Source organism: Homo sapiens, chromosome X (assembly GCF_000001405.40).
Source record: "Homo sapiens chromosome X, GRCh38.p14 Primary Assembly".
Classification (NCBI taxonomy): Eukaryota; Metazoa; Chordata; class Mammalia; order Primates; family Hominidae; genus Homo; species Homo sapiens.
In genome coordinates this window covers 33,200,280-33,215,102 of record NC_000023.11, presented here as the reverse complement: position 1 = coordinate 33,215,102, position 14,823 = coordinate 33,200,280, and the positions used below count along the sequence as shown (strand labels likewise).

At 33.7% G+C, this 14,823-nt stretch overlaps 1 protein-coding gene across 15 annotated transcripts in view; it reads left to right on the top strand.

The window, feature by feature from the left end:
• The window catches only part of DMD (dystrophin), a 2,220,167-nt gene that overhangs the window by 124,286 nt on the left and 2,081,058 nt on the right, over positions 1-14,823 (top strand). For 13 of the 15 annotated variants that reach the window (XM_011545467.2, XM_006724473.3, XM_006724474.4 and 10 more), the window contains exon 1: positions 3,554-3,821. The exons of the other annotated variants lie outside the window; for them this stretch is intronic. In XM_011545467.2, coding sequence (XP_011543769.1) covers positions 3,791-3,821 — 31 coding nt within the window. In that variant the 5' untranslated portion in view covers positions 3,554-3,790. Of the gene's footprint in view, positions 1-3,553; positions 3,822-14,823 lie in introns of those variants that run through there. 15 annotated transcript variants of the gene reach the window in all.

Genomic DNA, 14,823 nt, shown 5'->3' with positions numbered 1-14,823 from the left:
TCAACTTCTCAAAGTAATAGAATTACAGGCATGAGCTAACACACCCGGCCTGAACAGACACTTCTTGAAAGAAGACATACAAGCGGCCAACAAGCATATAACATTTTTTAACAACGTAAACATTTTTAAATGTGCTTCTTTTTACAAACTGGCCGAGTGTGGTGGCTCATGCCTATAATCCCAGCTCCTGGGGAGGCTGAGGCAGGAGGATTACTTGAGGCCAGAAGTTAAAGACCAGCCTGCGCAACATAACAAGACCCTGTCTCTAAAAAAAATATTAAATTAGCTGAATATGGTGGCATTCACCTGTAGACCCAGCTACTCAGAAGATTGAGGCAGGAGGATCACTTGAGCCCAGGAGTTTGAGACTATAACGAGGTATGATTGTGTCGCTACACTCCAGCCTGGATGACAGAGCAAGCCTCCATCTCTTAAATGAAAATTTCTTAAAAAGCAAAAACAAACAGGAAAAGAACGGGTTTTGGAAACTCTGCTGTTTTCCTTTTTTTGTGCAATCACATGCATAACCGACAGTAGTGCCATTATATTAGAAATATTAATATATCTAATCACAACACAAAGCACTGTGTAAAAAAGCCGAGTATGATGAAATAAATTAAAGATAACCTAAATATTGGACATATGTACTATGTTAATGAATTGGAGGAATCAATGCGGTAAAAACATCAATTCTTCCAAAATGTATTCATAATTTTAATGCAATTCCTATCAAAATTCTACCTGAAAGATATTCTGTAGATAGATCTGTAGATCTATTTGTAGATAAACTTATTCTAAAATTTATATGGTAAATTATAACCACACTCTGGGACATGAATCTAGAGGAATGAAAAATGAAAAACTACATGATTGTTTTGCAGCTTTATTTGTAGTGACCAAACCCTGGAAACAACGAAAATATCCCACAGTATGTGAATAAAGTAACTATAGAACATCCATGCCATGAACTACTACTCAGCAATAAAAGGAAATAAGCTATTGATGACAACTTAAATGGATCTCAAGTACAGAATGCCAAAAAAAAAAAAAAAGCCAATCTCAAAAGGTTACATACCGAATCATTGCATTTATCTAATATTCTTAAAATGACAAAATTACAGTGATGGAGAACAAATTGATTGGTACCAGGCTTTAGGGATATTTAGGGAGGGTGACTGTTGTGACTGTAAAGGGGTAGCATGAGGCAAATCTCTGTGGTGATGAAACAGGTGTTTATTTGTGGAGGTTGAGGTTACACAAATCAGTGATGAAATAGAAATATGTATACATATCAATGTCAGTTTCCTGGTTTTGATACTGAATTGTAGTTATTGTAGGATACTGAATTGTAGTTATTGTAGTTAATCTTTGGGAGAAACTGGGTGAAGGGTACATGGGATCTCTGTATACTATCCCCGCAAATTCCTGTGAATCTATAAGTATTTGAAAATAACAAGTTAAAATAAATTTTTAAAAATTCTGTGACAGTTATTAAAAATGGAAATTTGAGCAAGTTCCTTTATTATGGGGCTAATAAGACCTACAAGATGTAGTTATTCTGAGGACTAAAGGAGAAAGATAAGTGATTAAGGGACACAAGAAAGTACTGTGGTGACACAGTCTGAACTGGAGTTCAATTTGTTCGGTCTAAATTTTATTTTACGTGCCTTTCACTTTTCCAGTTATTGTAAGCATATATTTGCACCTGGATTATAAAATCTTAAGGGAAGTATATGCATTCCACACAATGCAGAAATCATTATAGGTGCCAAATAAATTCTGATTATCAACTAAGGCTGAATGGCAATTAAATGTATCTCAGGGCATTCAGATCTATCAGGATTTGGTGCTTTAGACATTACCCAGGACACATCTTTGTTACATTTAGAACCACGGTTGTTTTTAGAAACATACACTTTAGGGTTTCTCAAAGTTGACCATGCATTAGAATCACCGGTAAAACACAGAGTGCTGTGTCCCAACCCCAGAATTTCTGACTTTTGAGGTCTCGTGTCAACTTGCATTTCTCAGAAGTTCCCACGTGATATTGATGTTGGTTTGGGACCGACAAGTTGTATTCACGCCTTGGCCTAAACAAGGGTTTATGTTTGTAGAAAACTCACAGTGCAAGATACAAAGGGCACTTATACTCTGGGCAATATTGTACCTCACAGCATAGAGGGACACTGATGCTAACATGCAGACTTAGAGCCAAATCAGCCCCAAAACAATTTTTTCATTTTTTCTATGTTGTTTTATGAAAATTTTGCTTATATGCATATTTAGACAACCACACTGAGAGGAAAGGAGGTGACCTAGGGAAAAGAATGTTTTAAATTAAAATTAGGCCTTATGTTTTATCTCATACACCTTTTGCTGGGGAAAATAGCAATGTTATGACAATAATATTCTAAAACACAAAATGTACAATTAACTATTAAGGTAAACATCACAGTCTGACTCAATATTTTTTTAATTTTTATCTATTACTCATTGCAGTCGCAAGCAGTTGAATGTTTGACATAGAAAAATGAGTCTGTCACTTTAACAAATGGTACAATAAAAACACTCAAACAAAAATTTTAGTAGGGATTATTATAACTATAAAAAGAATATCTTTCTTTAAAAAATGTTTCCAATGTTTTCTATCAATTTTGGGCTCGCCTGTTGCATAAAAGTAATAAGGAACAAGATGAAGAAGCTTTCTATTGGCAAAGAATGATTTACATGCTGAATGACATAATACAACTGTATTCACTTAATACAGAAAACAAGCCTCTATTCAGAACCATTAAATGATCATTAACTCAATGTCTAAAAAAATGGTGTTTTAAGAATTGGCACCAGAGAAATGGAAGAAAGAATAATTTGTTAGTAAAGAAGTTTTAGCATAATTCACAACTGAAATTTAGGATTTGAGAAAAATTTCTTTCCTGCATTATAAGAGTATTCTTTATTTTAGCAGGAAAACATGTCCCATGAGACCTATACACACACACATTCTGCCTTCAGAATTCAGCTGCTGCATTCTGCTGCTGCTTCTCTTATTCAGACTGTTGGCATCATCAATACATAACTTTTGATTGAATCCCAAGGGGAAAAAATAACTTTGGTAGACAGTGGATACATAACAAATGCATGGATTATTCTGGGCATTCCTTTTTATTTGGTAGAGTGAAATTTTTGGTGTTGTTGAGAGGATAAAAAAGGCATTTAAAAGTCAATTTTGAATCCGGATTTTCTGCTCTGTTAATAAATTCACATGAAAGTTACAGAAAGTATTGTTATGCTTTTGTACTGAATAGTTTTTGTGTTTAGAAGGCTTTAAAAGCAAGTACTATGTCCACTGTGCTATTCTGGTTTGGATATTAATCAGAACACAGTTGAGCATTGTTTGAATTCACAGAGCTTGCCATGCTGGAAGCACAACCTTATATGTAGTGACCATGGACAGTCCTATTATGGGAAACCAACTTGAGAGAGAAGGCGGGTCACTTGCTTGTGCGCAGGTCCTGGAATTTGAAATATCCGGGGGCCTCTACAGAATCCTGGCATCAGTTACTGTGTTGACTCACTCAGTGTTGGGATCACTCACTTTCCCCCTACAGGACTCAGATCTGGGAGGCAATTACCTTCGGAGAAAAACGAATAGGAAAAACTGAAGTGTTACTTTTTTTAAAGCTGCTGAAGTTTGTTGGTTTCTCATTGTTTTTAAGCCTACTGGAGCAATAAAGTTTGAAGAACTTTTACCAGGTTTTTTTTATCGCTGCCTTGATATACACTTTTCAAAATGCTTTGGTGGGAAGAAGTAGAGGACTGTTGTAAGTACAAAGTAACTAAAAATATATTTTACTGTGGCATAACGTTTAGTTTGTGACAAGCTCACTAATTAGGTAGATTGATTTTAAATTATCACAGTAGTTTGCAAAGAAGCATAAATGTTATATATACTGCATATATATATGTATTTATTCAGGAATATATATTTTTCATTGGGAAAACTTTTCAACAGAAATGGAGTGTAAAAGTTTTTCTTTGCGATAGAACTAAACACATGATTTCTTGATTAACAAACCACTGCAGTAATAGAATATGCAGAATGTCATTTGACTATAACAGATTTATTTTGATTGCTGTGAGATAGTTTGTATATCTGAGTTATTATTTTGATTAGTTGATACTTCCGTATTTAGTAACAGTTACATAAAGGTTACTGACCTGACATATATTCTCAATTGAACTAACTACTGTATAGGAACTACATGGAGGCCTAAAAGTTAGAAAAAGTTTCTCTGACACATCATGGATAAAATAAAGAATAAAATGAGTTGGGACGGATAATTGAAGGATGTGAAAAGTATTGATAAAGATTTAATTTTAATGTTTCTTACTCACATTTACTATTTCAAATGCTCTTTTCTGTAGCATATCATGATAATTATTTCAAATAATGATGTGATCTATGCTATCAAATGATCAGATGATTTCTTGGGTAAACGACATACAAACTTGAGGAACTCCTAATTATATTTAGTAGTAAAGTCACCTTGTTGTTTCATGTCTATTATGAGCCAGCTTTTCAGTTCAATTTTTTAGTTTGTCTTTCATATAGAAATACAACTATTTCGTTTATTTTTAAGAAAGTCATGATGACTAATGAAGGATTTAAAAATGGACTGTGGCACAACAGTAAAAATAATATATGATAAGGACTGTGTGTCCCGAAGAGATGGGAGTTTATCTCTTCCCCACCCATCTTTGACTTGTGGAGTGTAGTTATTCTAAAATAGATATGAGGGCAATGCCTATAATTAAGAATGAAAAAATAAATCTCTCCAAATAAGTAATGCTCCACAACTACTAAAAAAAAAGGCAGAAGTTTTGCCACTGGGAAAACTTTGTGGAAATAAGTTAACATTGTCCATGTATTGAGTCACATTAAAAGCTACCAGACTTTATAATACAATATTTACTTACATTGTTGGCTTGCTTCATAAATTTCTTTTGGTGGACATCATTATTACTTTTAGATTGAAAAACTATTATATTTACTATCATTACAAATATATGCATGGCATATATCTGTTGTTTGCAATATACACACACATTTTTATTTTTTGTTTTTATTTCTTTGATATATGTAACATAAATACCATCAAAATCACTAGTGATTTTATATATATATATATTCTACATAATTAACATCATATACAAGTATATAGAGCAATTTTGAAAGAATATATGCAATTCTGCTGAAATTAAGCAAGGTAAATCTACACTCTGCTTTGTCATAGATATTCAAATAACTTTCAATTCTTAGAATGCGAAGAAAGGTAATCTTTTTGGGACATGCCCTGTAGGATTTTTTCACGCTGCATTTAAAAAATCATCAAGTAATGCCTATGCAACATGACAATGAGTTTGGTAAGAAAAAACGGAGATATACTCAGGGCTATATTATACATTAAATTTTGCTGTTTGACAACATACTGCTACTTGGATGTTTGACATTTGAATCCAGTTTGTAAATTTGCCGTAGTTTGATAAACTTACAAAAGTACGTTTTGTTGTTTTTTAACCAAAACAGTTACCCTTTAAAAGAGATCACTGTATTGTCAAACATATTGTATTGTTCACTTTTAGAATTACTCAAATAATGCATTGTAAAGAATTATTCAAATAGTGTACTGCAAATAGACATTTCATTTGAATATATTTAAATGATGTAAGTCATCTGAGGTCTAATAAAATCACCTTTTAGAATTTCATCTGCAGAATCTTTTAAAGACATCTTAACTACGAAAAAGAGATTGCTGATCTAAATTGATGATATACTGTTAATACAAAGCTTTTGGTGTATCTTACATGACATAACATTATGAAAAATACAATAGAGTATGTCATATAGATGTTACTCTAAACTTTAAAAAAAGACTACAAAGTGTTCTATGCATAATTACATTATTTAAGGGGAAAAAGGTGTTGGCTGACACTATTCCAGCTAGACAGTACTGAATTGCAAATTCATCATTTGGGCACAGATATTAATACAGCTTCCTCTTTATTCCTATAGCATTCATTTGAAATCCCTGTACTCCATGTCATTTGCTACATATGAAACAAATTGTCAAGTTTTTAACCACTTGTGTAGTTTAATAAAAGAGATTAAAATCATTGTCTTGGAAACATCAGGTGTTTTTCAAAATTCTATTTTATTATCTTTCATCAAAATTTTATCTCAAGAGTAAAACAAAGTCATTTCCCAAACTTTCCTTCTCCTTCCACCTTCTATTGTAATATTTTCCTAACTTATTAAAAATGATTTATCATACTTTTTCATCAACTCTTTATTTCATCACACATACAAGAAACACAGTATTTTGGTATGAGTATATATATTTATATATATGCACATTTATATGCATTCAAATCACAGGGTATAAAGTTTCCTAAGAGGGTCTAATTAGAAATTAACCTTTCTTTAAAGATAATTTTCTGTTCATTTTTCTAAATTTTCTATTTTAAACACACATCATTTTTTAAGGAATTGACAAATGAGACTAATGTACATTCCCTGTCTGACAACACAGAACGAACCAGGAAGAAAGGATTTATGGGGCCTGAGGTTATACAATTGGGGGTGCTATTTTAAGAAAAATAATAGAAAATTGGATACAGCCTTGGGAGGGGCCCCTCATGTAAGTAAGGCTTTAATAGTTTCTTGGGAAATCACCTCTGTATGAAGAGATGTGTTGACATTTAATCTTTTCCCAGTTACATTTTAAAATAAAATTGATGCTAGTTATATTTCTTTAGAGCATTTATTATTTCTCAAAGACAACCTTTTATTTAATGCAGATTAGAGAGTTAAAAGAATTTATAATGGTAGGAATTTGACATTTCTGCCTTTCATTCTGAAAAGATACATTGATTAAAGTGATGTCAAACTCAGTTAATGGAGGCGGTGCAGTTATTTGAAATATACAGGGTATATAATTTGAAGGCACGCCAAATCACAATGACAAGGAATAATGATGACCTTGGTTTATTTTTATACAGTACATTCAGGTTTTGATTGGATTCAGAGAGAGGCAATGGTTTTCTTTCTCACAAAGTCCTGCTATAGTCCTAGGAGGTTTGTGTTCTGTTATCAAGGCAGTTGGTTCGTATTGGAATATTTTCTGGGGAAGGTCATGGGCTGCAGTGTGGGAAATAAACGTTTTTATTAAATGCAACCAGGTTTCATGAAAATATTTCCCCTTGTAGAGTGTGCTCAATGCAGTATACTGATCTTCAAAAAACAAACAAACCAAGCAAATAAATAGTTTGTAGTCTTCACCTTTTCCCTACGTAAAACATCTATTAGTTAGACTTCCTTGGGGTTTCATGCTATAAAATATTGACATATGTTTGGAGTTCTGAAGTTTCATTTTAATACAGATATCAAAGTTAAAATGGCAACACCATGGGATAATTTATTATTTTACCAAGTTTGGAGGGTTTTTTCTATTTATGTCACTTATAGAATTGTCCCTAAAATCCTTGCAAAATTTCAAGCTCCCTCTACTTAATACTAAAAGTGAATGTGTCTTCCAGAGATTCTGATAACCCCTTCGAATGGGAGAGTAACTCTGCTATTTGTGAATCACTCCTATACTAAATATAGTTCCAAGATTAAAAGCTAAAATGATTTTGTTTATTTTTTCATGAAATTTTTTCATGAAAGGCTTGATAGTATAAAAAGTCTGTTTCCCTCATATATTACAGCATATTATAGCATTCAATGTGCCTTCTTAAACCAGATGGCTCCTCTAGAGATTATGAAATACTTTAACACCCAGGGCATAGCCTTTCTGTTTCCCCATTCAAGATTACTTCCTTGAATATGGCCCAACAAAAAGACCAAAAAAATACATTTGGCTCCAGCGTTTTAAGGGCATATAAATTTTCTTAAGCACAATTCTGATAGGCAGCAGACAAATGAGAATGAGGAAGGGAAATGGCTCTGCTGTCTTATGCTTAAAAGTGTCCTCATATAGAGAGAAACAACACACCCTGGGGCCTTTCGGAGGGTAGAGGGTTGGAGGAGGAAGAGGATCAGGAAAAGCAACTAATGGGTACTAGGCTTGATACCTGGGTGATGAAATAATCTGTACAGCAAACCCCTATGGCACAAGTTTACCTATGTAACAAACCTGCACTTGTAGCCCTGAACTTAAAAGTTAAAAAAAAATAAAATAAAAAGAGTCCTCATCTCACGGCCATACAACCTCTACCTCATTCCCATTAAAAACACAAAGATCAGTACTCCCTCTTTTATAGCTCACATCTTCTGTTTAGGCTGCCATTTTAAGGGATAATTTCTATTCAACTCTGAGCTCGATCTTTATTTTAATCTGATATCACTCGTTCAAAATACTTGGGAATTTCAGTAGGCAACGGAACACACAGAGCAATTTTCTGGAGGCCTACAACCTCTGAAGGTGACTTTGCGTAGTATATGTAATGATAGTAAGCCCTGAGAAAACCAATGTTCTTAGTAGTCTGGATTTGGTTTAGAAATCAATGTATTCCTGCTTTCTTTTGTGATCTTTTGCCTTCTCCCTCAATGCCTCACTTTCACTCTGTCATTATGAACCCCATTCCTCACTAATGGGAACTGGGGGAGAATGGACAATGATCCTTTAATTGAAATGGAGTTGTCATTTCCTTGCCATGCTGATAAAATGTTGTTGCTGTTGTTGTTTGTTGTTGTTCTTAAATGACTCTTTCAGAATTTTTAACTCAGTATTTTGATTACATACCATTTTAAGAAAATAATTGTCCATAAATTAAAAATGCTAGCAAATTGATGAATTGATTTTCTCATGCCAATTTGGAAATCTGAAATATATCTAAGACTGGTGAATAATATGTAGGTCTAATTGCCATTTGAATAAAAGAATCTGAGGAAGAGCTTTGCCTTTATTTTTGTTTATTATTCATTTTAGTTTAGTTATTTATTTTAGTAGAAAAATGTGGTTGTGTCAACGAAGAGGAGGTACATTAAAATGCATTATTAAAGCCAATGCTTATCCATGTAATGAAATGAGAATGTAGATGGCTTAATGGGTTTTGGAGAGGATTAAGATAATTTTAAAGAAACTTCAAAAAATCAGATGCTCGAATCATGATGTTTTTTGTTTATATTTAATAAATATGAAAACCATACATGGGCATATCAACAATGAGGAATTCACATATATATCACGAAGTCTCTTGCTAATTTGTCAACTTTTAAATGTGTTGTCTTCACTATCATGAAAATTTTGATTTTTAAAAAAGGTCAGTGTTAGCTGAGCACAATTACCATTACGGTGTCCCATATTATTTCCAATTATGGGCAAATAAAATGCTTACCCTTTAAATGTTTTTACCCTCTTCTTGGCTTTTGTTTTGTTTTGTTTTAAAGCGTTCTCCCTTCTTCCACTCTGCTTTTGGCTAAGACTGTCATGGAATCAGGACTATAAAAGGGCATAAACATCAGTAGCTTTTTTCTCATTCCTGGCACTCATCTTTATTTGCACTCAACTTGTCTCTTCCTTTATCAGATTACGGTTGCAATAGTACCTTAGCCTGAGCTAAGTGCTGACTTAAAGGGCAAGGGAGTCAGTACACTGTTACAAGTGCAGATTTTAGCCTTGGAAGCTGTGTGAGGAAAAATTAAAGAAATAAGAAAGAAAAATCACAAAATCAGAATGGCCCACGTATTTTCATCAAAGGCAAATTGAGTAATTCCTTTTTATGTTGGTGCTTAAGAACGATGTATTAGAAATAAATTGGTGACTAAGTGAACAAAATATTAATAAACTAGTTGAGTAAGTGAAAAAATAATAATCTGTAAAAATGATGAATCCCAATGACTCACATGTTGCAAAATAACTAGGAAGCAAAAGGGAAATTAGACTTTAAAGAGCGTAATCAGATGCAAGAAATGTTGGCTTGTAGGTGGTTAACTAAAATCGCTTACGGGAAGCTCAGACAGCTGGGGAATCCTGATTTAGTAGACGCTGAAGGGCAGGGCATGAGCCATGTGAACAGCTGCTGAAGAGCTAGAGGATTCCTTTGGATTAGGTGTACACACCCCGTCTCTAATGGGCTGTCAGAGAGCACCAAGTGTTATCACAGAGGTTCACTTTGCTCAAGCCTATGGCTTTTGCAGTGTTTTACTTTAAATGTCTGAAAATGGATTGGCTCTCAAAATAAATCCAAAAATAAAAGTATCAAAATAAGTGACTCTCTAAAACTTGTATTGTGTGGTTTTGGGTGACCACAGTTTAAAGAAGGGACTTACAGCTGATGATTTGTTATCCATTTATTGATTCATTTGTCCATGTAACAAATACACATATTGAGTGCCCATTTTGTGCCAGGTACTGTGCTATGCTCTGGCGATAGTATTCTAAACAAGTGAACTCAAAGAGAGACTAGCATTTCAAGGAGGATGTGCATATTAAATACACACACACGCAAACTACTTGCATTGGAGATAAGGGCTATAGAATAAAGCACACATTGTAATAAGAATGTATAATAGGGAGAGTTAGACCAGTCTTCGAAATTGGGGAAATACTTCTGAGAAAAAAAAAATATTCAAAGCAAGGCAAAGAAGAATGAGGTTAGAGTATAGTTGTCCAAAAGAAAAGAGGGAGCAAAAATGTCCCTGTCAGAGGGAGCAATGTTTCTGAATGTGGAAAATGGTATGGAGAAAGATCTAAAACAAGTACAGCTTTCCTAGAGTACAGTGAGGGCAGAAAAGTGTGGAACAAGCTTGCATCTGAATGGCCGACTGGGGTCCAATCATTCAGAGCCTTGAAGGTTATAGAAATTATTTTTCTCTTTATACTAAGATCAATGGACAGCCTTATGGGTTTCAGGTAGAAAACTGATGTAAACATATTTGTATTTTTTAAGACTATCACTCTGTTTTGTGTGAAAGAGATTGGCAAGTGCCTAGGGTAGATGAAGGACTATCAATCTGAAGCAATTACGGTAGCTCATCCAAAAGAAGGTGATTTGGACTAGAATGGGGACAGTGGAGATGAAAGAAGTAAATCTATTCAAGATTTGTATATGAGATAGAATCAATAGGAATTGGTGTTGTATTGCATGCTGTGTGCTCCATGAAATGCACACCTGGGTGGATAATGGTGCCATTTGCAAGGAGATTGGAAGGGAAATTGGAACAACAGGAAGGATTAGGGGTGTGGATGCTAAGGTGTTTGTTTTGTTTTGTATTTTTATGTAGCGCGTGGGTATTGTGCCTAGAAATGAAGTCATTATTAGGGATTTAAATATGCAACTCATGGAGTGGATGAGACCAGCTAGAAAGATAATAGAGTGTGAAGAGGAGATCGGAAATTCAATAAAGAAGACAAAAGCACTAAAAAAAAAAAATCAGAGAAGACACATCTAGAAAAAATGATGAAATTCTAAGGAAAATAATATTTCCATAAAGAGGTCTGTTCCTTTCGATCTCCAATTTAATGACTTCATGAATGAGGATCCCACTTTTAGCATTAGGTGTCTTGGTTTCCACAGTCTCTACCATCTATTTACCCCTAATTTCCTCCCATATTGCTATTTCTGTGAATATTACCAAAATGTTGCCTTAGTAGAAAAGCTTCAATAAATATTTAAATTGTATAACGTATTCAGCTTTTTCCTGTACTCTGCACTTCCTAAAAATACCTTCTTCGGAAACCCCATTTCAACTGACTACTGTATAATGAAATGAGCCTTCAGTGTAAAACATTTATCATAGTCTCAATTTCAATTGCTCAGTCAGAATTGTTGAGTAATATGAAAAATCATCCTTTAGAGAATACAGAATTGCATAGTTATGACAAGGTAAGTTTGCACTTTATTTAATGCTAGTTTAGTTAATATAGATGCTTATTGGAGAAATGTCTAAAAATTCTGGAGGACCGTTAGTGAAAGTGATTATCCCAATATCTGCAAAAATGGTAAAAATACCTAGAAAACATTGACATTTCAGTTTAAATAAAGCCAGAATCACAATAAAGAGATAGAAGGCATTTGAGTAATTCAATCTAATCATGGATGAATGTAATGTACTTATCAGTTAGCTTTGGAGGAAGTAAGACTCGATAGAATAGTAATATGATATTGAGCAACTTTTTTTAACATTAGGTTTTTAATTGCTTATAACTCAACATTGTTGAACACCTATGTTCTCTTTGCTTTTTATGAGACAGCAACTCTAAGTCAGAGAACAGATACACACACATATGTATATGCGTACAACTACTATAAAATATCAAGAAAGTTATAAAGCATGGTACAAATCAATCATAAATGATTACTTATGAATAGTGTGATTATGGACATTCTCATTGAAGAATCCATTTTTATAAATAGGCATAAGAGTATGGACATACAGAGATGTGAATTAGAGAATGATTGCAAGAAGCAGTGAGGCAAAAAGGATTAATGAAACATTGATCTGTCTTACATACACAGCTATTGACAGTACCTTGTGTGTGCATAGCACTATTCTAGATTCACCTAATCTTCAATGATAATACTGTATTTACCATTTAACAAGCCTGTAATAAGTGTCAGGCACTTCTCTGATTACATCACATACATATGTGATAAGTTCCATATTAACTCTAGAAGGTGGGGAAACATAATCATCTAAATTTACCAGATGAATATGTAGAGGTACAGGGAGATTAAGTAATTTGCTTAAGGTAGCTCAGCTGGTACGTGGTAGAGTCAGGATTTTAATGGTGGCAGCATGACAGTAGGATTAAAGATTCTTAACCAGTCAGTTGTCACGATCTCTCAGATTTTAATAGAATTCTAAAAAGGATAGAACAAAATATAAAATGGCAGGAATCATAGTATCTTCTAACAAGAACTAGACATGTCCCATTGAGGATGCTCTTTAAAAATAAAACCCATTAAAATTTTGGGTTGTTTACTCAAAGCCTATAGACATTGGCATATTATATTTTCTTAGATAAAAACTGAGATATCCTAAATAACTCATGCCCATTCTCTAGACTTGCATAGGGAGCTGTCTATGATAATATCCATAACAGTTATCTTGTTTCACAATTTTATTACTATCTCACTCTTCTTACTTTGTGAAGATGAAAAAGATCAAAAATAAAACTAATGCAGCCCTGGTTTGTTTGTAATCATCTACAGTTAGCCATCCTTAGAGTGGTCTCACTAGTTGTTCTTTTAGAGTTTATTTCAGTTATGTACAGGCAACTGTGCTACATGAACAAAAAGCTAAGAACTGGGCTAACCTGAACATGATTTAGTATTGTAAAAAAATGGTTTACATAGATTAACGTGCCATACTATTCTGAATAGTACTTGGCATAAACAGTAGGTTATTTAAGTTACTATAATTACTGTTGCCTTTTTACATAAACTAATTTTTCTCTTATCTTCATTATGTTAGTCATCCACAGTGTGATATTTAGTTGCATACATTCATATAGTGTACACTGTACAATTCTAGAGTGTACCAGTAACGTGGACTATTAATATTATGCTATGAGGTAAATGACACCCCTGGAGTTAAGCAATGTGCACTCTGTACGATAACGTCAACATTGGCATTCTCATATATATGATTAGAAATAATACTGAGTTTCTCTGACTTCACAAGCAATTTTATTCTCTCATCTCATAAAGAGGTAATGAATGCACACATATCTACATATTTAAAAATAATGTCAGAGATCGTGATGGAACAGAATTATTCAAGATGTATAAATGAGGGTGGGAGGCAAAGGGAAGTCAGAAATACTCCCCAATAATTTATTTCAAATTAAAAGCCTATTGGTTATTGGCTGGTCGCGGTGGCTCATGCCTGTAATCCCAACACTTTGGGAGGCCAAGGCGGGCAGATCACCTGAGGTCAGGAATTCCAGACCAGCCTGGCCAACATGGTGAAACCACATCTCTACTAAAATACAAAAATTAGCCAGACGTGGTGGCGTGCACCTGTAATCCCAGCTACTCAGGAGGCTGTGGCAGGAGAATCACTTGAGCCCGGGAGGTGGAAGTTGCAGTGAGCGGAGATCTCGCCACTGTACTCCAGCCTGGGTGAAAGAGTGAGACTCTGTCTCAAAAAAAAAAAAAAAAAAAAAAAAGTCTATTGATTATCATGTGCGTTTCCATGGTATCAATTGTTTAGTATTGTCCAGTAACTAACTAGTATATAAAACTATCAGGATAATATAAATTTTAACATTTATTTAAAATGCATCTTCTTAACTGTAAGGTTATTGATCTTTGGATAAGCTATAGAAATAAGCCTTAATTCAGAAATATATTTCGGAGACCCAGTAGGTTAATTTGTAGCACTACTCTTTAATATTAAATATACAAATATACATTGTTTTTATAACTTACTGCTATAATGACACTAAGATGTGTGATTATATAAAAATAAGAAATTGTTAGAATTTATTTTATTTTAATCAATGCTGATCCATTTTTCTAGTGTATGAGATTAGATGAGGTTGTATGAGATACCACTTTTCTAGGAAAAAAGAAAGTCTTTATGACAGTGTGATGAATGAAGTAAATTAGCTCATTTCTTTCAATATTACTAGTGTGCATAGATCTTCTCTTTTTGTCTTTCTGTCTATCATACATACACAGAGGCACACATACATACACATTACTTGGAAATTAAGTGGTTTACGTATGAAAGTTTTTGGCTTTACTGATAAGATCAGTAACATGATAAATAATACAACACTGAATACATTTTTCCATTTGAAAAGTGTAAAG